General features: G+C 37.9%; 1 protein-coding gene across 4 annotated transcripts in view; it reads right to left on the bottom strand.

Annotated features, from left to right (window-relative positions):
* Positions 1–22,537, bottom strand: part of DNAJC13 (DnaJ heat shock protein family (Hsp40) member C13) — a 121,531-nt gene that overhangs the window by 4,319 nt on the left and 94,675 nt on the right. For all 4 annotated transcript variants that reach the window (NM_001329126.2, NM_015268.4, XM_047447819.1 and 1 more), the window contains 11 exons: positions 21,615–21,706; positions 20,044–20,143; positions 18,218–18,292; positions 17,898–18,010; positions 11,717–11,886; positions 11,515–11,557; positions 11,001–11,174; positions 8,925–9,104; positions 8,433–8,573; positions 6,382–6,525; positions 3,617–3,716 (listed from right to left, as the gene is read on the bottom strand). In NM_001329126.2, the coding sequence (NP_001316055.1) occupies positions 3,617–3,716; positions 6,382–6,525; positions 8,433–8,573; positions 8,925–9,104; positions 11,001–11,174; positions 11,515–11,557; positions 11,717–11,886; positions 17,898–18,010; positions 18,218–18,292; positions 20,044–20,143; positions 21,615–21,706 (1,332 nt within the window). The remainder of the gene's footprint in view (positions 1–3,616; positions 3,717–6,381; positions 6,526–8,432; positions 8,574–8,924; positions 9,105–11,000; positions 11,175–11,514; positions 11,558–11,716; positions 11,887–17,897; positions 18,011–18,217; positions 18,293–20,043; positions 20,144–21,614; positions 21,707–22,537) is intronic.

Raw genomic sequence — 22,537 nt, 5'->3', positions numbered from 1 at the left:
ACAGCAAGAGTTAGAAGCTTTAATTCTTGAAATAGTTCTTTCATTTTTAATGTAACTTAATTTTTTTTGAGACAAGGTCTTGCTCTATTGCCCAGGCTGGAGTGTGGTGGTGAGAGCTCAGCTCACCTGTGACCTCCACCTCCTAGGCTCAAGAGAGCCTCCCGAGTAGGTGGGACTACAGGCATGCACCAACATGCCTGGCTAAATTTTTGTATTTTTTTATAGAGACGGGGTCTTGCCGTGTTGCCCACGCTGGTCTGGAACTCCTGGACTCAAGCAGTCCGCCCACCTTGGCCTCCAAAATTGCTGGGATTACAGACATGAGCCATTGCACCTGGCAAGTTGGTCCTTTCAAATAGGACAGACTAGAGCTGATGAAAAAATTTCCAGCAACTGACATCGCTAAAAAAGAGCATCCCAGATTGATAACATGCTCAGAATTTCACAATTCTGGGGTCAACAATGCTTACAGCTTATCCAGACTGTTCTACATGGACACGTCTGCAGGCTTCAGTAATGGCCTTCTGGAAGACTCATTATCTCCATGCCCCTTCCTGGTTGGGTTTTATACCATCTCCCCATTTGGCCAGACCTGTACAGAACTTGCTGTCCCTTAAGCCGGCTCAGGGATGGGAAGAAATTTGTATACCCCAACTTTTCTTTTTCCCTAACCTTCTTCTAACCCCTTCACAGCCACTTTTCATATCTCATTCAGAAGCCACCGCATGGATCCAAGTAAAAGGAAAGGCACAGACAAGAAGCTTTTTACTGCCTATACCTTTTCCCTATAGTTACTAAAGCATGTGGATGGGGGTGAGGACCAAATGAAGTCCAGGTTTCTGAAGATAAACCCCTATTTCTTCTGGATTCTAACCACAGACCTTTTGGTTCACACTCTGTAAGTCAAGGACATATGTTTTTTATTTCATCAAGTTAAGTCAAAGAATGATAGATAAGACTGAACAGAAGAATTAGAAGAGGCTTTCCTGTAGAGAAGCTTATAATATACACATTACTATTCTTCAGGGCCAATTTACTCTTAGTTAAGAAAAATAAGGCTGACCAGGTGCAGTGGCTCACACCTGTAATCCCAGGACTTTGGGAGTACCAGGCGGGTGGATCATTTGAGGCGGGTGGATCATTTGAGGTCAGGAGTCCGAGACCAGCCTGGCCAACACAGCAAAACCCCGTCTCTACTAAAAATACAAAAATTAGCTGGGAATGGTGGTGCACACCTGTAATCTCAGCTACTTGTGAGGCTAAGGCAGGAGAATCGTTTGAACCCGGGAGGCAAAGGTTGCGGTGAGCTGAGCTCATGCTGTAGTACTCCAGCCTGGGCAACAGACCAAGACTCTGTCTCAAAAAAAAAAAAAAAAAAAAGAGGGCGGGCATGCTGGCTCACGCCTGTAATCCCAATGCTTTGGGAAGCCGAAGTGGGCAGATCACCTGAAGTCAGGAGTTTGAGACCAGCCTCTACTAAAAATACAAAAATTAGCTGGGCATGGTGGTACATGCCTATCATCCCAAGTACTTGGGAAGCTGAGGCAGGAGAATGGCTTGAACCTGGGAGGCAGAGGTTGCAGTGAGCCAAGATTGCACCATTGCACTCCAGCCTGGGTGACAGAGCCAGACTCCGTCGCAAAAAAAAAAAAAAAAGCCAGGTGTGGTGTCTCACGCCTGTAATCCCAGCACTTTGGGAGGCCGAGGTGGGTGGATCACCTGAGGTCAGGAGTTTGAGACCAGCATAGCTAACATGGCAAAATTCCGTCTCTACTAAAATAATAATAATAATAATAATAATTACAAAAATTAGCTGGGTGTGGTGGTGCAAGCCTATAATGCCAGCTACTTGGGAAGCTGAGGCAGGAGAATCACTTGAATCCAGGGAGCAGAGGTTGCAGTGAGCTGAGGTCGCACCACTGCACTCCAGCCTGGGTGAGAGAGCAAGACTGTCTCAAAAAAATAAATAATAAAATAAAAATAAGGCAGATTTTTTTTTCAATCATACCATCCTTATACAAAAAGTAATGAATGTAATGCCATGAAAACGTGGTATGTGAACTTTTGGACATAGGCTAAAGAGGTAAAGTTTTTATACTGCCTATAAGAACAAACTCCTACTTAGAAGCTATAATTTTAACACCAAATCTGAAGAGAGATATGGGACAGACTGAGAACACAGTCTAGGTATTTTTCTCCATAGATATGAGGGACAGGGGATGGAAAAGTTAAAATAAAAACCTATGACACTGTTCTGAACAGGACATGACCTGCAGCCAAAGCACTGCATGTTTATAAATTTTAGGACTCTGCTCCAACTTTAGGAGTGTCAATATTAAAGTGGTTATGGTGAAGAAAAAAAAGTGTCACACCAAGTTTAAAATTAAAACCAGGTAAAATTTCCTCCAAAGCCTCTAATTTTGAATATTCAAGATAAAGTCTTCATGATCTTATAAACTTCTATACTAGCAATCAAGATTAAAACAATTACAATGGCTTAGAAACCCTGGGTGATAATTTTTTCTCTTAGTTTATCATCTTTGGTTAGGAGAGAATGCAGGGCTGACATCTTTTTATATACTACAATTTCAGGCAGACAGCAAGAACCGCCTCATATTCCTAAGGTTAATTTCAAATTAAGAACTTTTATAGCAGACTAGATATTGCCTCTTTAGCATTCAGCAAGAGTCTGACTTATGTTGAAGCCTATATGAAAATGACTATTCTAAAATTATGCAATTAGTGTGTCAAATGTTCTGAGTTTTAAACATAGTATCTTTTGAAACCAAAGCAGTAAAACATCCTTTCATTCATGATACCTATGTATTCCACCCCCATAAAACGACACACCCTAAATATTTAGCAAAACCATAAACAAATCACTGGAAACTTAGGAGAATATCTTTTTTTTTTTTTTGAGGCAGAGTCTTGCTCTGTCGCCCAGGCTGGAGTGCAGTGGCGCAATCTTGGCTCACTGCATGCTCTGCCTCCCGGGTTCCCACCATTCTCCTGCCTCAGCCTCCCGAGTAGATGGGACTACAGGTGCCCGCCACCACGCCTGGCTAATTTTTTGTATTTTTAGTAGAGATGGGGTTTCACTGTGTTAGACAGGATGGTCTCGATCTCCTGACCTCGTGATTCACCCGCCTCAGCTTCCCAAAGTGCTGGGATTATAGGCGTGAGCCACCGCGCCCAGCCAAGAATATCTTTTACATACAATTATACATATTTGGAGTTTTAATCTGTTATTCTGACAGATATGGAATGATGAATCATGTTTCTGACACTGATATTCCTCAGCAGATATTTATTCCTTCTCTTTACAAGATAAATACTTTAATACAGACATGCTCCAAATATATTCTATGACCCAATTAACTGGATCAAAACTGAACAAAATACATGCTTTAGTCAGTACCCATTCAACACAACAACAGTTTGCATGCTATATAAAGCTAAGACCATATGTCTACTACATGCTCATAGCACCTCCAAGAAAGGTCAGCTGGTAGCCTAAGAAACACTCTGAACACAATTTTAAGTCTATTTAGGGCAAAAGGAAGGTCCAAGTGGCTTCTGCCAGGTGTCTTACAATAACCAATTAGGTATGGCTTACCTGTGAGGTATCCTGCTGTTTGTGACTCAGAAATGAACAAATCATGTTTCTGATCTTTGAAGGCACTCCAGACTGAAGAACGGCACAGGATTTCATTCACCTAGGAAAGTAAAACAAGCCCTTTGAACATAAAATCAAGGACTGGATGTTGGAAGACAAAAAGAAAAACCAACTTCCAAAGCAACAAGGAAGAAGGCCAGTGAGGAAAGACCCAAATATGGAGCAAGAACTAGCATTCATCAAACACTCCATAGCAGGCACTATGCCAGACACATCTCATTAAGGCAGACCCAAAGAAGTCCTCAAGTCAGTCGTCCCTCTGAAGCTGGACTCTATTATTTGAACCTACAATTACCGACTTATATGTAATTCAAGGAGGAAGATACCTATGCAGAGTATTTTCTTGTGACAGTAACAGATGGCTGACAGTGTATGGGCTGATGAGCTATTCCTGAGGAAGGAGTTTGGGGAGAAGGTACAGCCAAATTGAGCTAAAACTTAAAGCAGTGTTTCAAATTATGAGCTGTGACCTAAAGAGGTTTATGAAACAATCAGGAGTGTTGTTGAAAAAACAAAATTGGTCAATATAGAAAGCATCAGAGTATCAGAAGTAAAATGAGGACTTGTATATACTTGAAATACATACACATATATGAGTATAAATAATACATGTGTGGGAATATGCACTAAACTAAGATGAAAGACATTTCTGTGTGACAAAACATTTAGGAAATACCACCTTAGTGAATAGCTTTTGCACATCAATGTTCATATCTAGTATTTACTGAGCACCTCTTATGTGGTAGGCACAGTGAACACAAAGATGAGAAAGACAGACTGTCTCTGAAGTGCTTACAATCTAGTAGGGAAGACAGCGTCAAATAATTTTGTGGTAAGAATTAAAGTAGGGTTATACAAGGGGACCATGTGAGTCCAAGGGAGGGGGGCACCTGCTCCAACCCGGGAAAGAAGCAGTAGTGGAAGTGATTAGTTGTAAAGCTGGTAGGGGAGTTCCTATTTAGAAACTACTATACCTCTTTCCTCCCCTCCCTTGGGTGTAGGAAGTGGGTGTCAGGATTACTTTGCTAATTTCATTACCAGGAATCCTGAGGCAAGTCAAAGACAAGACAACTGCTGCAAGTGGTACGCAGGAGAGCCTTTGCTTGGCATTTAGAACACTCATAGGCAAAAACCAAGAAAATACTTCTAAAAACACATCAGTTAATGACTGCAGCAATACTGCAGTCTCTTCTTTAATATCTGCAGAAGTGCTGCCTCTCTTCTTTAATATCTCTTTTTTTTTTTTTTTTTGAGACAGAGTCTCGCTCTTTCACCCAGGCTGGACTGCAGTGGCGCTATCTCGGCTTACTGCAAGCTCCGCCTCCTGGGTTCCCGCCATTCTCCTGCCTCAGCCTCCCGAGTAGATGGGACTACAGGCGCCTGCCACCACGCCTGGCTAATTTTTTGTATTTTTAGTAGAGACGGGGTTTCACCGTGTTAGCCAAGATGGTCTTGATCTCCTGACCTCGTGATCCACCCGCCTCGGCCTCCCAAAGTGCTGGGATTACAGGCGTGAGCCACCGCGCCCAGCCTAATATCATTTTAAATCATTTAAATGATCATATTGATAGAATGACAATGGTATGAAAAATGTTTCTTTACTTGAAACATACAAATCCAGTAAATTCATTACCGGGAAGCTGTAGCTGAAGTCAATTAAAACCTATGGAACATTAGTAGGGGAAATAACCCAAATGTCCATCAATAGATGAATGGATAAACAAATTGGAGCATTTACGTACAATGACATATTTAGACATAAAAATGAAGCATTGGTAACATGGATGATGCTTAAAAACATGCTAAATGACAAGATAGACACAAAGGGTCACATATGTATGATTATATTTATATGAAATACGCAGAAGAGGTAAATCCAGAGACAGAAAACAGATTGGTGGGTGCCAAAGGTTGGGGGAAGGAAGAAAGGGAGAGTAGCTGCTGAATGGGTACAGAGGTGATGAAAATGTTTTGGAACTAGATACGGTGGTGTTTGTACAACACTGTTAATGTCCTAAATGCCACTTAACTATTCACCATAAAATGGTTAATTTTATGCTATGTAAATTTCACGTCAATTAAAAAAAAATGAGCATTAGTAGATGGGGCTATATAGTACACTGAATGAGGAACTCCTTAGAGGAAATAATAAAAATAAAACCAATGAGGAAAATTAAATTACTGAACAGGCCTGAAGTCAGCAAATACGTGCAGCTGAAATACATTAACACACATAGGAAAAACAAAGTCACGACCAAAGAAAAAAAAAAACCAACACTTTTTAAGCACCAGCAAGAAAGGAAATGAAAACAAAAATGATGTTCTACATCTTTTAAAATAGCATTATGGGATGGTTAATGAATTTGGTTATCACTACCCATGAATAACTCCTAGAGCTGAAAGTTAATCTTAAGCAGCACTAAATGCTGCATATTCCATGCTAAAGATTTCCAGCATTTTTCTTCCTGAAATGTACAACATGCCATCACTATCCAGAAGAATTCTCCTGAATATTGAGTATATGGTTTATGCTTTTTCATCAGTTATGAGGCAGGTATGCAAGTCCATCCTTGGGCTCTGGATCTTCTCCAGTTACAACCAACAGAACCATATCTGTAAGTGGAACTTGAACACAGGTACGTGGACCATCCATGGCCAAGACCCTGGCTTTTAGAATATCAAAAGTTGACTCTATGCAGACTCACCTGTTCTCCATACTGCAAACTTCGAGTCATTGCCTTGAGAGCTTTAACAATCTGAGCCTTAGTGGCTGCTGGGCTGTCCAGGTTTTCAAGGCCAATGCCTTCGAGTAATTTTAAGAGGTATGGAACCAAATCTGCTTTCAGGGCCTAGAAGAAATATTAAGCATATATAAACACACAGAAAAAATGCAAATCATCCACTGAAGAAATAATTTTACCCCCAGGACCTACCTGGAAGGCAGCCTGTTGCACCGTATTTTAATGCCATACACAGGCTTAAGTATCTAATGACATTTTTATTTAATGAGATTTTATTCTGTCCATTAACCATTCTAAATGCTATACATCAATTATTTTATTCAATTAATGCACAGAGGGTAAAACAGTATGTTCATAATCACAGAGCTGGGCAGTATTAAAATATGTATCTGGAGCCAGAAAACATAGAACCTGAGCTTTTAGCCCCTATACTGGGCTGCCTGCCCTAGTAACACTGTATTAATAGGCAACAATCTCTGAAATACATTAGTATTTTTTCATATTTTCTTCAAACATCAATCTTTGTGGTCATCGTACATTTCATATCAGCCTAATAAAAGCTGAATAATAATCTAATGTCACAATTTTCACTATCCATTTTGAAACTCAGAGGGAATAGGAAGAAATAAAAGACATTTAGTGAATGCACCTCTTTTTTCAGGTACTGTTCTCATAACAACCTTGTGAGATAGTCACAACCTTATTTTACAGATGAGAAATCTGAGCATTTTAAGGTTAAATATCATGTCTGAGGTCAGAGAGCCAACAAGTGGTAGTACCAGCTCATGTTCTTTCCTACACATCAAACTCCTCAAGCCAATCATAAGTCTGAACCTTAGAGCATCCAGTATCTCCTTGAGATGTACCCAACAGCTCTACTTGCCTCAATGAGGGTCCAGTGGGTAAGGCTGAGGGGCTGGGAGAAGGGGAAGCCCAGATAATAAAGATGCAGGGCCTTGTATTCTGGCTAAGGATACCAGATGTCACTTAGTCATCTGGCAGGTAATGAGAAACCACTGAATGGTTTTTAAGATGAAGAATGGCTCAGTTATATTTCAGAATTCTATTTAAATACTTTATTATTTTTTATTGTATGTATTTATGGGAAATAAAGTGATGTTATGACACATGCATACAATGCAGAATAAATCAAGCTAATTAGCATATCTACCATTACAAATACTTATTTTTTTGTGGAAACATTTAAAATTTACTCTTACCAATTTTGAAATATACAATGTATTATTAGCTATAGTCAACATAATGCACAATAGATCTTAAAAGCCTTATTCTTCCTAACAGAAACTGTACTTTTTGACCAGCATTTTCCCATTCTCCCCAACCCCAGCCTCTAGTAATCACTATTCTACTCTCTGCTTCATAAGTTTGATTGTTTTAGACTCCACTTACAAGTCAGATCATGTGGTATTTGTTCTTTGAGTTACATTTTAGAAAGATCGCTTTTGTAAGTTTTTAAATTTATTGCATCTTTTTTGTTCCATCAACATCTGTCTACATGGATATCCACCAAGTCCAGTTTTCATTAGGTGGATAGTCTCTTTGAAAAAGGCAGTATCTTGGCATGTTTCTTAAACATGACTTAAGAAACAAAGGAATAAATAAACGAATGAATTTTTCCAAAGAGGATGAAGCACATTTTACAAATCAAGCTAAACAAGCTACTAAGCTAATTGCACAATGGATAGCCAAAATGTAAATTTTATACACCATAAAAGTACTCTCAAGTTGGTAAGACTGTTGGCAGCTGGCCCCATTTTTGTGTGTGTGTATATATACACAAACATCCATGTATATATACATACACATATACACACGTATTATACACACTACTGTATGTGTTTGTATATATAAAATATAAAATTGTTTATACACAAACTCACAAGTTAACTCTCACCAACCTTAAGTCAAGGAAACCAAATCAGTACCAAATAGGTAAAAATCTACTTGGTATGTTTGCTTTCCTAAAATAGTGCTAAATCTAGAAAGTCACTTACTTGTGCTACTAATTCACTCTGCTCCTTCTGAAACATTCGATTAATTGCTTCACAGGCTAGACCAACAGTATCTGCTCGCTTTTTCATTCCATTCATCAGTGGGCCAATGGTCTCTAAAGATGCCATGGCTCGAACACACAGCTAAGTGCCCAAAAGAGAAGGTTACTTGTAGACTGGCAATATTTATATAACATAGTAAATACCATAACAAAATAAGTAAATAAGTAAAAAAAGAATCCCTTACTTTCAGTTTAACAATGAATTGAACCAAATTTAATCTATTAATTATATCACCTAAACTGGTATTTATCAAAACTGATTTGATAAATACCAGTTTTGATAAACCCAGAACTAATAAAATACCATGTGGTTCGTATGCAAAAAGACACATGGCAGAAAGGGGATTTATATAATACTACAACTTATATCCGTCAAGAAGGGAGCATAGATAAATTCTGGAGCTTATAAACTACTAAGTGTATTCATCAATACCTCATTTTCAGACAAGGCATGGATAACCCGAATGGCACTCTTAGGAATGGCATTGTTCCTATGATTCATTGCCTGGATAACTTTGGGAAGATGGCCCAATGGCGGGACCTGATCTGCCAGCTGAGGTTGTGCGCTGAAGAGACACACTGTTGCCATTGTCAAGGTTTCCAGAGTTTCTCCCTGCAGGTGTAAAACAAAAATAAATCAACTATAAAATACTCATACAGCCCTAAATATCCAAGGTAATGTATTTGGTGTTCAAAACTAGGGATTCAAAAGTTCTAAGTGCTGATACTTGAAAACAGATTCACTAATCCTAAGAGAACAACGAACTTCCCATTTTCTTTCATAAAAGGCATGAATCTAAAGGACTTTAAGAATATGCTATTTTAATCTAAGCAGGATTTTACTCGGTTAGGTATACCCAATTTCTATTGCAGGTTTTTTTTGAGACGGAGTTTCGCTCTTGTTGCCCAGGCTGGAGTGCAATGGCGCGATCTCGGCTCACCACAACCTCTGCCTCCCAGGTTCAAGCAATTCTCCTGCCTCAGCCTCCCAAGTAGCTGGGATTACAGGCATGCACCACCACGCCTGGCTAATTTTGTATTTTTTTTAGTAGAGACGGGGTTTCTCCATGTTGAGGCTGGTCTCGAACTCCTGACCTCAGGTGATCCGCCCGCCTTGGCCTCCCAAAGTGCTGGTATTACAGGCGTGAGCCACCGCGCCCAGCCTCTATTGCAGGTTTAAGAGATCATGTCCCAAATGATATTACTAGAAATTTTTAGACCATGTTGCAGGTATGTTAGTGTCAGAACAATAATCCAGAAGAATGCAGAACTAGTGAAATGTTTTTCCCAGTTTCATTAAAAATCCTACTATTTAACATGTCTGGCTCCCACAAAGCACTTTCTATTGTGGATAACGGATTGGAAAGACCTTCAGCTTATACCACTAGATGCACACATCCAGAAACATAATAAAATGCATCTTAAATTAACATTAAAATTGGAATGTGTCCAAAAAGAAAGGTGATATAGGAGGAAACTGCTATGTGCTTTCCCTAAGTTTTAGCTTTTGAGGACTGCATTTTCCAAGCAAACTATGTATGTAGTAGAAATCCTATTGGAGGAATATGACTATGGAAAGTAGCACTGGTAAATACTCAGCAAGCTAATCATGTTTTAAAAATATGTTTTACTAAGCTAATGATAGTAACTAATTTCTAAGCACTTGAAATGTGCCAGACATTATGTTAAGCATTCTATATATGTATTAACTCATCAGAACCTCTGCCTCAGAGGCAGCTGCTATGACTATTCTATAAATGCAGCAACTGAGGCAGAGTCATGAGGTACTGCCCAAGGTCACAGACCTGGTCAGTGGTATGGCTGGAACCATCAAATAACACCACTCAGGCTCTTAATCACCTTATTCTGTAGCCAGCCTGTTTAAACAACAATCATGTAGGTCAACTGTCTTCAATCTCAACAAAATCTTAAACCTTCTGAAAACAAAAAAGACTTTGAAAAACAAAATCTTATATACTATCACGGTATTTGGCTTGCCAAACCCAAGACCAAAGTTACCTTTTCACTCACTCCTGCTTTCCTGGCAGCCTCAGCCACAGATACAGGATTCAACCACATAGTTACTACTCTTCTGTCAATTTCTTTGACTAGGGTTATCCCTGCCATATACACAAAGTAGAGTGCAGCACATGCCCAAACAGAACACACTCTCAGAGGAACACCGAACACACAGGTTTCTCCTTAAAATTACATATTCATTAGAGATGGACAGTAAAAACCTTCTTTTCAGGCTTCTGTAACTGTTAGAAATAGCATCCTCTCAATATAGATATCTCTATAACTTTGGTTCATAAACATACTAAAGAGCTTCACTTTTGAACATGGCAAAAAAATGATCGAGGGGCATATGTGAATTTAAATGTGGCTGCTATATTGAAAGAGCTGGCCAATTCCTAATTCATGGTCTTTGTGAATAAGGTTGTAAGAGAAACACCATCAGTCTAGTTAGCCAAGTCTTTGAAATGTTTTGCTTTTGACTGAAGCTTACATGAGGATTGTTCTTCTCTAGGAGCTCAGTTAATTTTTCTAACAGGGCAATAAGAAATTCTCTAGGCTTTCTTAGAACCCAGGCTGGTTGTGCAATAAAGATCCTCAAGAAGACTCCTCCAACAGCAAGTTCACCCTCTGCTTCTCCAAACACCACAGCAAAATCTTCAGGCAACTTTAAATAGAGAAAGAACCACAGTCAAGTCACTTAATAATCTTGAAGCTAGAAATGCACACCATATTAAAGAATTGTTTATAATGTTAACCAGTCCACAAACAGCCATAATATAATCAAATTATGAGTTTTATTTTTTCTTAATAAAGTTCAGAAAGGGTGCCCTTACTAACTTCGAAAGTAAGTATTCCAATTTTTATGTTTGAAGCCTTATTTTCCAGGGGAATACCCAAGAGTCTTGATGACAAAGTAGTTATAGGTCGGCATTAAACTGACTCAGTAGAAAGTGAAAACAACTAAATCAACAGAAAATAAGATGTAAAATAAAAGTATATTTTACCTTCCAGTTTGCCTCAGGGTTGTCCTGCTGATTTTTAAAGTGCCTTGGGGAAAAAAAGGGATGGATACCAAACTTCAGTCACAAATACATTTTCATTAACCTTTAGCATAAGTTTTAGAGGTGATGGGCACAGTAAGAAATGTTTGCCCTTCCCAGTGATTTTATTTAAAGGCTATAAATTATTACCTTTGTTTTTACTTACTCTAGCATCATTTCCCTAACTGTTGTGGACACTTTATCTCTGGAATTATCATTCCAAATTAACTCAGGATTTTCATGAGTTCCTTCAAAAATATGTACAGCAGCTTCAGGATTGTCTCTCATAGCATCCATGAAAACGCTTGGTAGAAATTTCATTAACGTAATTCGAACCTATACGAGGAAGTTTGAGAATGAAAAAGACACCTATTGGAAACACCTCAATATTTTGTTTGTATTTTGCTAATAAGATAGAATATCAACATAATTTGTGTTATGACTTATGTGGGCCATAACCATTACCTAAAAGTTCTGGAGTGAAAAAGATAATCCTCGGTTTATGCAAAGGTACCTTTAAATAAGACTCAGTACGACCTGAACCTACTTACCTATCAAGTTTCATTTTCTCTGTTCTGCCATGGTGACCAAAAAAGTTTCATTTTCACCCCCTGCCTCCGTATCACTAGTATGGTAAAGTTCCCAGAGCACACCTCATAGGTCTTGCCTTACAATATGCAGAATGCCCTTAGCCAGGCTTGTCCCTTCCAACTCTCTTTTATAGCCCCTGCCCACACAAACTAATTTTTCTCATTCTACCTCTGTCTTACAAGTATTTTCTAGTGCATTTATTTTGCTGCATGTTTTATGTTACACTGTGTCTTTTTCCAGAAAGGATTTAAAAAGCAGCTTTTAAAAAATACATCTAGCACATACATACAGACAAAATGAAAATTCATGTGAGGCATGGGGCAAAGGGAAAAATGAGGGTTGGGAAAGTGTTTTTCCTTCAGATCGTCACGTTTATCTCTTCTCCGTGTCAAATTCTGGGCTCAAATCTTATCTTACGGAAACCCTCTAGGCCCAATCTTTCTTACTCATTGCTTGTATTCTCAGCCCCTGGCACATAACAGATGCTTAAATACTTGAATAAATGAAGACTAATATGAAGTCAGCACACGAAAGAAACATAAAACCTCCATAACTGCCAGAGATATACTACAAATTTAGCTCTGAATTTCCTAGCAGCCAATGAACTAAATTTCAATTACATAACAGAACACCCACAAAATAAAATCATGTCAGTTGCTTCAGAGACACCCAACTGTTTCTGGAGGAAAAAAGCAATTTCTCCTGGGGTTCCCATGGAAGGGCATTTGTTATATATTAAATAATACCATCAAGGTAAACTCAACAAGAGGTTTCACAGGCTTATTTCTTCCTATATTCCCTAAATATGATGAGAGTATTGTGCTGAAATATAATTAAACTCTACAGAGGACAAGAGAAGGTAGACAAAGTGATTAAGTATGTCCTTCTTCTTGGTCATGAGCTCCCTGAGTGTAAGAACAATGCTTGACCTGCTCACTGTGGTATATCTGCCCCTAGTAGCTCATTCTCACAAAGACCAGAGAAATTACATGTCAAAGAAGCACCTAAAAGTTAGAGCGGGATTTAAAGGCCATTTATTTCAATTTTTTCACTGTGGAGCTAAAGACAGACAAGTTACCCAGACTCATTAAGTCAGTGATCTGTGATTCATAAAGCAAGAGTTTTGCTCAGAACGTTATGCTGCCATCTTGCTATATCAGGCCAATTACATCACCTTTAATACAACTGCTTATTGTTTTTTTGGACAGGGTCTCACTCTGCAACCTCGAACTCCTGGGCTTAAGTAATCCTCCCTCCTTAACCTCCTGAGTAGCTAAGATTACAGGTGCACTACCATGCTTGGCTAACTTCTAACCTTTTTTTTTTGTTTTTCTTTTTAAGAGATGGGGTCTCTCTACCTCACCCAGGTTGGTCTTGAACTCCTGGCCTTAAGCAATCCTCCTGCCTCAGCCTCCTGAATAGCTGGGATTACAGGCATGAGTCACTGTACATGACTGTTGTGTTTAAGGTTTTTAACAAAATTGTCTTCTGAAACATACTTAGCTGTCTCATAAGAATCACTGTTGTAATCATTCTACATAAATTTTAGGGCAGAAATATCTGATATGTCTTAACAGATTTCATTATAGACTAGTATTTAAAAGAACTCCTAATAACTAACCTATTTTAAAATATTTTGCAGCTTGAAACAAAAATTGAAATTTTTATGGCAAGTAAACTAAATTTTAAGTAATAACCTTTTTTAGAAGTGAACTATATACTTGTAATAAGCTGTATGTGTGTGACTGCTACAGAAATCATCTATTGACCAGTTGGGTGAATTTCAAATGTCTTATTTAAGAGCTATATTTATGAGTCTTATCAAATTGATATGAAAGCAAACTTTAATTGTATTTAGGATAACTGTCTTAACATGAGTCCTTTCATTTCTAAATTTATTTAATCTAACCTACTGTCATCTGATACTTTTAAAAAAGGCACATTATTTGACCAGCTGTACAAAATCAAAAGTCTCTTCCTATCGGATTTCTGAGAATGCTTGTTTAGTATTCTAATTTAATTCAATTTAATGAATGACCCAAGTCTATCATCTGTAAAAAGCAGTATTAAAGCAAAGTTTACCAGGATGTTTAAAGCATTTCAAATGCTAAGAACTACATAAGTTTATTACTCACTGGTGTGTATACTATTAAACATTTGAGCAAAAAACCTACATAAGGCAAATACCATGACCATAAATCTCCAGTTATGTTCAGGTTACTCAGCTATCCTAGAACAGGGGCTGGCAAAAAAGGGGTCACATCTGGCCTGCCATCTATTTTCGTATATAAAGTTTTGTTTGAACACAGCCACATCCATTTGTTCATTTACTGTCCATGGCTATTTTCCTGTCACAACAGAAGAGCTCAATATTTGTAACAGAGATCACATGCCCCACAAAGGATAGAATATTGACTATATGGTCCTTTGATATGGTTTGGCTGTGTCACCACCCAAATGTCATCTTGAATTTCCACATGTTGTGGGAGGGACGCGGTGGGAGGTAACTGAATCACAGGGGCAGGTCTTTCTCGTGCTATTCTGTTCTCGTGATAGTAAGTCTCAAGGGATCTGATGGTTTTAAAAAGGGAGATTTCCCTGCACAGTCTCTCCTCTTGCATCTGCTGCCATTTGAGACATGGCTTTCACCTTCCACCATGATTGTGAGGCCTCCCCAGCCACATGGAGATGTAAGTCCAATAAACCTCTTTCTTTTGTAAATTGCCCAGTGTTGGGTATGTCTTCATCAGCAGCGTGAAGCCCTTCATAGAGAAAGTTTACTGGCCCACCCCTATCTCACACCATGGATAAAAATTAACTCAAATGGATCAAAAACATAAACCTAAGAGCTAATACTATAAAAATGAGGAGAAAACATAGCCATAAATCTTTGTAACCTTGGATTAGGCAATGGTTTCTTAGATATGACATAAAAAGAACAAGCCAAACAAAAAATAAACTGGATCTCCTCAAAATTAAAAATTTTTGTGTTTCAAAGGGCACCACCAAGAAAGTGGAGAAACAATCAGGAAAATGTGAAAAAATACTTGAAAATCATACCTATAATAAGGGACTAGTATCTAAAACATAACAATTACAACTCAATAATAAAAATATAAATAATCTCAATTTAAAAATTAGTGAAGGATGTAAATAAACATTTCTCTTAAAAAGTTGTACAAATGGCCAATAAGCACATGAAAACATTAGCCACCAGGGAAATGCAGATCGAAACCATGATGTAACACATCATACCTACTAGGATGGTTGTAATAAAAGATATAACAAGCGTTAGAGAAGAAGATGATAAATACATTGCTAGGGGAATGGAAAATGGTAGAGCTACTTTGGAAAACAATCTGACAATTCCTCAAAAGGTTTAACATAATGTTACCATATGACCCAGAAATTTCACTCCTAACAAAAACACATGTCCACACAAAAACCTGTACACAAATGTTCACAGTAGTGTAATTTAGCAGAGCCAAAAAATAGAAACAATCCATGTGTCCATTGAGATAAATGGATACCAAAACACAGAATACTATTTGGCAATAAAAATAAATTTACTAACACTTGCTACAACATAGATGAAAACAACGGAAGCCAGTCACAAAAGACCATACATAGTATGATTCCATTTATATACAATGCCCAGCATTCGGCAAATCTATCCAGAAGGAAATAGATCAGTGGTTGTCAGGTGCTAGGGGAAAGGAAGAATGGACAGTGACTGCTAATAGAAATAGGGTTTCTTTTTGGGTTGATGAAAGTCAAACCTAAAATTGATTATGATCGCTCAATCTGTGAATATACTAAAAACCACTGAATTGTACACTAGATATGTGTGAACTGTATGGTATGTCAATGATATTAATATCTCAAGAAAACTGTTACCAAAAAGGAAAAAAAAATTTGGCCAGACACACTGGCTCACCCTGCAATTCCAGCACTTTTGGAGGCCAAGGCGGGTGGATCACATGAGCTCAGGAGTTTGAGACCAGCCTGGGCAACATGGCCAAACCTTTCCACCTCTACAAAAAAATACAAAAATTAGCCAGGTGTGGTGGTGCGTGCCTGTAGTGCCAGCTACTTGGGAGGCTGAGATGGGAGGATGGCTTGAGTCTGGGAGACAGAGGCTGCAGTGAGCTAAGATTGCACCACTGCACTTTCAGCCTGGGCAACAGAGCCAGACCTTGTCTCAAAAACAAAAAAATTTACCGACCCCGGTTCTAGAATCTCTTGCAATTAAGGTGTTGATACTTGTGTTTTGTCTATACAGAAAGTTTAAGTGTAAAAACAGTCAGCTTGATAAAATTTGTCCCTCACGTATTTCAAAGGTCAGAAATATAACCAAAGAGCTCAGTCAATTCCAGTACATACTTAAGCGTCTAAAACACTATTGACGAGTTAATGGGTGCAGCACGCCAACATGGCACATGTATACATATGTAACAAACCTGCACGTTGTGCACATGTATCCTAAAACTTAAAGTATAATAATAAATAAAAAAAATTAATAAAGAAAAAATAACTAATATTAGATATTACAGTTATGTGCTACCTAGCTCTAGCTTTAAGGAAATTCAATATTAACTATTTTATAGACCCTCCTGTAGGCTTCCAAATGTAATCTTGCTTGTCTCATCAACCCTGCAGAAGACTATTAACTTATTACTAAAGTAAAACTGTTTCAGGTCCTATGACAGATTCTCAATACCTAGACTGAGAGATCGAGCAAGAAAACAACTGAATCCAATTTGTTTTATTAATGTAAAAAGTGTTTAATTAGCCTCGGACTTTTTTTTTCAAACTGAACTTTACATGGAGGCACAATGTGTACAAAGGAAGCCACCCTGGCTTTAGATAGAGGTAGGGGATCTTAGCCTCCTCCTTACCCAAAGTGCCTTTGTGGACTTGCTTGAATAATGATCCCTAAATATCAGTCCGAATAGGCTTCAAAAGAATCACTTTGGAAGCATGTTAAGAATGGAGACTCCTGGGCCCCACCCTAGATCTACTGAATCAAACTCTGAAAGTAGGACTCCTGAGCCTTTATTTCATGTTCTCCCTATGACTAAGGGGCTGCTTTGTGGGCAGGCACAGAGGACTCTTCAGTGAGTACTACTTGTGAAACTGACTTAGTAACAAAATAAAGGGACATTGATACCACTTGCACCTGAATGAAATTCTATTCAGAACTATTGTTTTAACAGGTATCCTGCTCTCCAAACTGGACCATGGATCCAGAGATCATCCGGTTATCTCCAGATTTGGAATAAAAGATCTCCCTGCAGAGTTGGAAGCCAGAAGTGTTGTTACACTCATGCCCCTATATGAATTCACTGCTGAGGGTGGCATGTCCTTAATAATTCAGGTGTGGAATGTAAAATACACAAACCACCATCTCCTTCACTAGTTATTTCCACAGGCCAATCCTTGTAGTGTGAAAGTCTAACCTATCTTCTGTCATAGTCTTGATATACTTTTTGTTCCCTCTTCGAGGGAGATGAACAGTGTATCTTAATCCAAACATTCTCTTAAGACTTTTCAATTCCAGTACAGCCTGCCCTGACTCTAGTTTTCTCAAACAGTAATACATAGGAACAATTCCCGGAATGTGAATTTTCCAACTTTCACATCACCTCATTTCCTTATCCTCACCATCTCAGATTTCAGTAAACTTCTTGAAATCAGTATCAAAGTAACAATGCTTTAATAATTAATTTCCTTTCAAGAACTTATTTTGTGCCTACCTTTGGACCTATCAGTTTATCTGCTGTCATTTTGGCAAAAAGTTCTGCTGTTTGGGCTCGAACCTGTGGATGTGTTGAATTGCAGAACATATCCAGTAAATAGATCAAAGCACCTATGAAGGAAAAAGATAATTAGTGCTTATAAAGAATTTGACTTTTCTAATCAGAATTCATTTTCAACCATATTTCAACTGAATGTAGTTTTTAAAAACTGTAAACATTCCAAAGCATTCTTCTAGTTTATCAGGCTGTAAAATGCAGCTCAAAATAAGCTTCATTATATTGCACATGACTAGCTAAGAAAGCACTCTATACATTACCCTTTGCCATTGCTTCTTTGATTATTTTTGTACTCGATGTCAAAGCATAAAGAGTTTCCAGAACAAGCTGACGACCTGCAGAGTAAAAGACATTTCAAGGAATGCATCATCAGGTTAGCTTATATTTACTTGGCACCAGCTCTGTGCCAGGCACTTAACTAGATGTTCTACACAGGATGTCATATTTAATCCTCATAATAACCAGTGAGACAGGTATTTTCATGGCCATGTTATGAGTGAGGAAGCTGATGCCCAGTTTAACCGGCCCAAGGTCTCACAGCTAATAAGTGGTATAGTTGAGTTTTGTATGCAGGTCTGCCTCCAAAGTCCATATTCATAACCACTATAAAACCCTGTCTTCCTACCTCATTGTGCACTGCACATCCAAAAATCTGATTTCCTGACACCCAGAGGACACTCTAATCAGGCATCTAAGATTTTTACCTGGTGCTACTGTCTTGAGGGAAAAAGTAGGAAGTAGCAGTTGTAAGACCGGGTTCCATTCTAAGACATAATTGCATCCTTCTGGACAAAGCCTGTGTGCCTCTCACCCAGTCACTACCATATTATATGCAAGTATAGGTTACTGGACTTAACTCTTCTAGAGTCAAATGGGAATGACAGACAGGTTGCCAAAGGAATAAAGTGTTGGCAAATAAGGTAGAGGCTGCAAAGTATTAGGCTGAGATGAAAACAACAAGAACAGTAACAATGTACCTTAGCAAACAGTGTAAGATAATTTAGTCTGAAGTCTTAATGATAGAGAGTAGGCTAAAATATCTGGATGCCAGCTATTTTCCCTGTAAGACTAAAATATTGACTGGACTATATAAGTATAAAGTTACACTTTTAAAAATTATGAGTTCCATAACATCCTTTACTTCACCAACCAGTTTAGTTTTACATTGTTTGAAGTCTCACAAAGCTACTGAAAACCAAGAAAAAAGAAAAACCAACTAAGGTTGCAGGTATGATAAAAACAATCTGCAAATGACTTTACAAAGCTGCCATTTTAAAGACCTGTTTCAAGCATATCATGTATTGAAAAAAAAAAATTTCCATGGAAATTCAACTCAATTTACCAAACATAAACACCAAACATAAGCAAGCCACTGGTATATAAGATGAACGACACGGTTCCTTCTCTTAAGGAGGTGGACAGACATGAATTCTAGATTAATGTGACTTCAAAGGGATTGGCAAAGCCAACTAAGCAATGTATTCTGGTTATTGCTGAGTTTGAAGTTATATTGTAATTGCCTACAAACTCAATATTCCTGCCTTTGAAAAGCAATCTCAGGGTTGGTTTTAGCACAACTATAAACTATTAGACTAGGTAATTATATAGATTAGGGCAGGCTGTGTTCAGGAAATAAGGTTGATATATTTTTTAAACCACCTTGGTATTTTATCTTATTAATATCAAATCAGCAAAAGACAAAGTACACAGATTTGAACACTAAGCTGAATACAAGGCCATCTGTATCTTAAGCATGTTTTCTATCATCCAAGATTACTTATGTTTAGTAAACCATGAAATATTAGTTAATTCTCAATTACCCATGTGTAGATCTCAACAAACTGAAAATCCCAGGTTATTTTCCTTTGGTTTTGGACCTCTCTCACCCCCAACTTTCAACTTTTGACATAGGAAATGCAAGACAGTAACGTATGTAAAACATTATTAGGAAGACAAATCTAGTGTAAATAACACTTTAAAACTAAACATAGATGACATTTGTTTGAGGTTTTGTATCAACTATGCAACAACTCCTTTCCATGGGCTAATCTTGCTGTGGTTTCCAAAATTCCATCTGTATACATACTTGATGGCAATGAATGTAGAAGAGCCAATAAACTGGACAAAACCATTGATTCAGCAATATTGTTGACACAGTCTTGGTTAGATGTCACTATATTCACAACCTGAAAATTAATCAACAGGATAGTAAAAGTTTCAGAAATAATTTTGAACCTAAATCAAATTAGGTCATATAGACTGTACAAGTGAGACAAATGTTTGGGGGATGAAACATTTAGTTTTTAGATAAGAGTTTAATTTTAAAAGATTGCCTTTATTAATCTCTTTGGAAATAATACCTTGAGGTTTCTAAGAAGCCTTCAATCCTATACCCATACATGCTCCAGAACTAAGGTATATACTATAGTGTTTTCCAATTACAGAGTTTGGATAGGGGCTGGTGATTAGGAAAATAATGATTCTCACTACTGGGACTCTTACTTTTAGAGGAAAAAAGCAAATGTCTTCAGTACCCTGCACAATAGATTGGGGTTATGTTTCTATTATAAAGAAATAGGTATGTTTTTCTTTCAGAAAGGATGACCACTCACATCTTTGAGAGTATACATCTAAACATCATTGGTCAGCGTCTCAGTGCAACATATCCTACATTTAATGACGTTTATTTAAAAAGTTACAAGATGCTTGAAGGAATTAAGTAGGAAAACATGTTTTTCGATTTAAATAACTTGCTTGTTAAGCTCTTTGACCAATTTAAAGTTTTTTTATTCTATTAAAAATCTGTTTTAAGCCAAAATGTTATCTAAGAACATGTTACACAAATTATTCATAAACCATCTATATACCTGTTACTGCAGGGTTGCATTTGGTGTTCTTTGCAATAAACTGTGTGTCACAAAGAGCAAGATCTCAGAAATAATCCTGGGAAGTCTCGGTTGCCTGGGCAAAGAACTACTTGTGACTAGGGACTTCTTGCTTCTCTCAGAAGAAAAGGCTACATCTAAACAGCATCCTATGGGACCAGTGGCTTCAATATCCTGAACAAGGGGACTCCAACTTCTCTTGGACTCTTAAGACCCATGGGTTCTGGCAGTTGGCCTTTTTAGGCAACTCCTATAACAGCAGCATACCCAGGTGTCTGTCTGTAACCCTCACAGAAAAGGTAGCTCTTGTACTAGATTTGTAAGAAGGGAGTTTCAACTGCGGGGGAGGGACAAGGATCACTCCTCTGAAATGCAAACCCACAGTATGTAGCCAACAGATATGGCCTCAGTATGTCTCTCCATAGGAACACAGCAATCAGAAACCCTCTATCATCTTCTTGCTGATGTGTGGCTTCTAAGCTTCCCCAGTAAAGCCCATTCTTAACTCATACCTGACACTGTACAACACTATCCCAAGCCCTAACGCATAACAGAAAGAGAACCACTTAGAACGACATTGTGCAATTGTGCAATATTCACTCTTCAAATTGAGCATGTTAATTCAAATTTCAAAAAATATTGATGTGTCTTAATAGGCAAAATGATGCAACAAAAAAGCACACTTCAACTTCAGACAATGACTGATAGAGACTCAAATTACACATGGTAAGTGGTAGGAAAGGCAACACGCTTTAGTACAAAACGCTTTTACCTCTAAAGCCAACTGCTGCACTTGACCAGCTCCATGAACTCGGAGAAGAGAAAATATCAACTTAAAGTGCCCAATGCATTCACTCTCAGAACCTAGAGAATAAGAATAAAATGGTTTACTTCCAGGAGATGTTTGAAATTATTTAACTTCAGAAAACCGATATACACTGTTGTTTACTGTCAATTTTAAGTCTCTGATAACTGGTTCTAAACATCTGTGACATGAAGTAAGTGGAGGACCTCTAAGGAACAATAAGTCTTAAAAGGCAAAATGTAAGGTGTTAGAGCTTTTTAGGTTTACTTTGTTTTCATTCCCATCCCCACCCCTAACCCTCAGGCTAAGACCTTTATCAAATAAACAATCCAAATATAGCTCAAAAATCTAAAGTGTAAGGTAGTAATTTCACTCTACCTCTAGACCTTAGGGTTACCCCCCTCAACCTAATTATATTCTGGGAGACTCTGACATGATTTGGCTTTTAAATAAGACTAGGTTAGAACTCTGCCACTTAACTATAATACAAACAAACTGGTATGAATATACAAAGCACTCCTTGTGAAAATACATAAAATGAAATGGTATTTCCATTCCTACCCACCTCAAATCCTAATCCCATATATTTACTTCCGTTTTGTTCAGCATATTCTTCCTCTTCTATATGGTAGTAAAACATACAGTGTAATTTCTTATCTTTTGAGGATTCTTAAGATAGCTCAGTAAGACTCCTTCAACTTAAAGAGTCTGAGAATATTCTATAAATATGTTGCTTTTAAATTCATTTTCAAACCACTTATTGATAGGGAATAACTGTCAAATACATCAATGACACACAAACCATACTTCTAAATTACGAGAGAGTTAATTCTAATAAACTTGATGGATATTATCAGAAGGATTTCTGCACAGGCCTTTCTTCAACTCTT

This window comes from Homo sapiens, chromosome 3, assembly GCF_000001405.40.
Source record: "Homo sapiens chromosome 3, GRCh38.p14 Primary Assembly".
In the NCBI taxonomy this organism is placed as follows: domain Eukaryota; kingdom Metazoa; phylum Chordata; class Mammalia; order Primates; family Hominidae; genus Homo; species Homo sapiens.
Note: the sequence above shows the minus strand (reverse complement) of the source record. Positions and strands in the feature narration are given on the sequence as shown.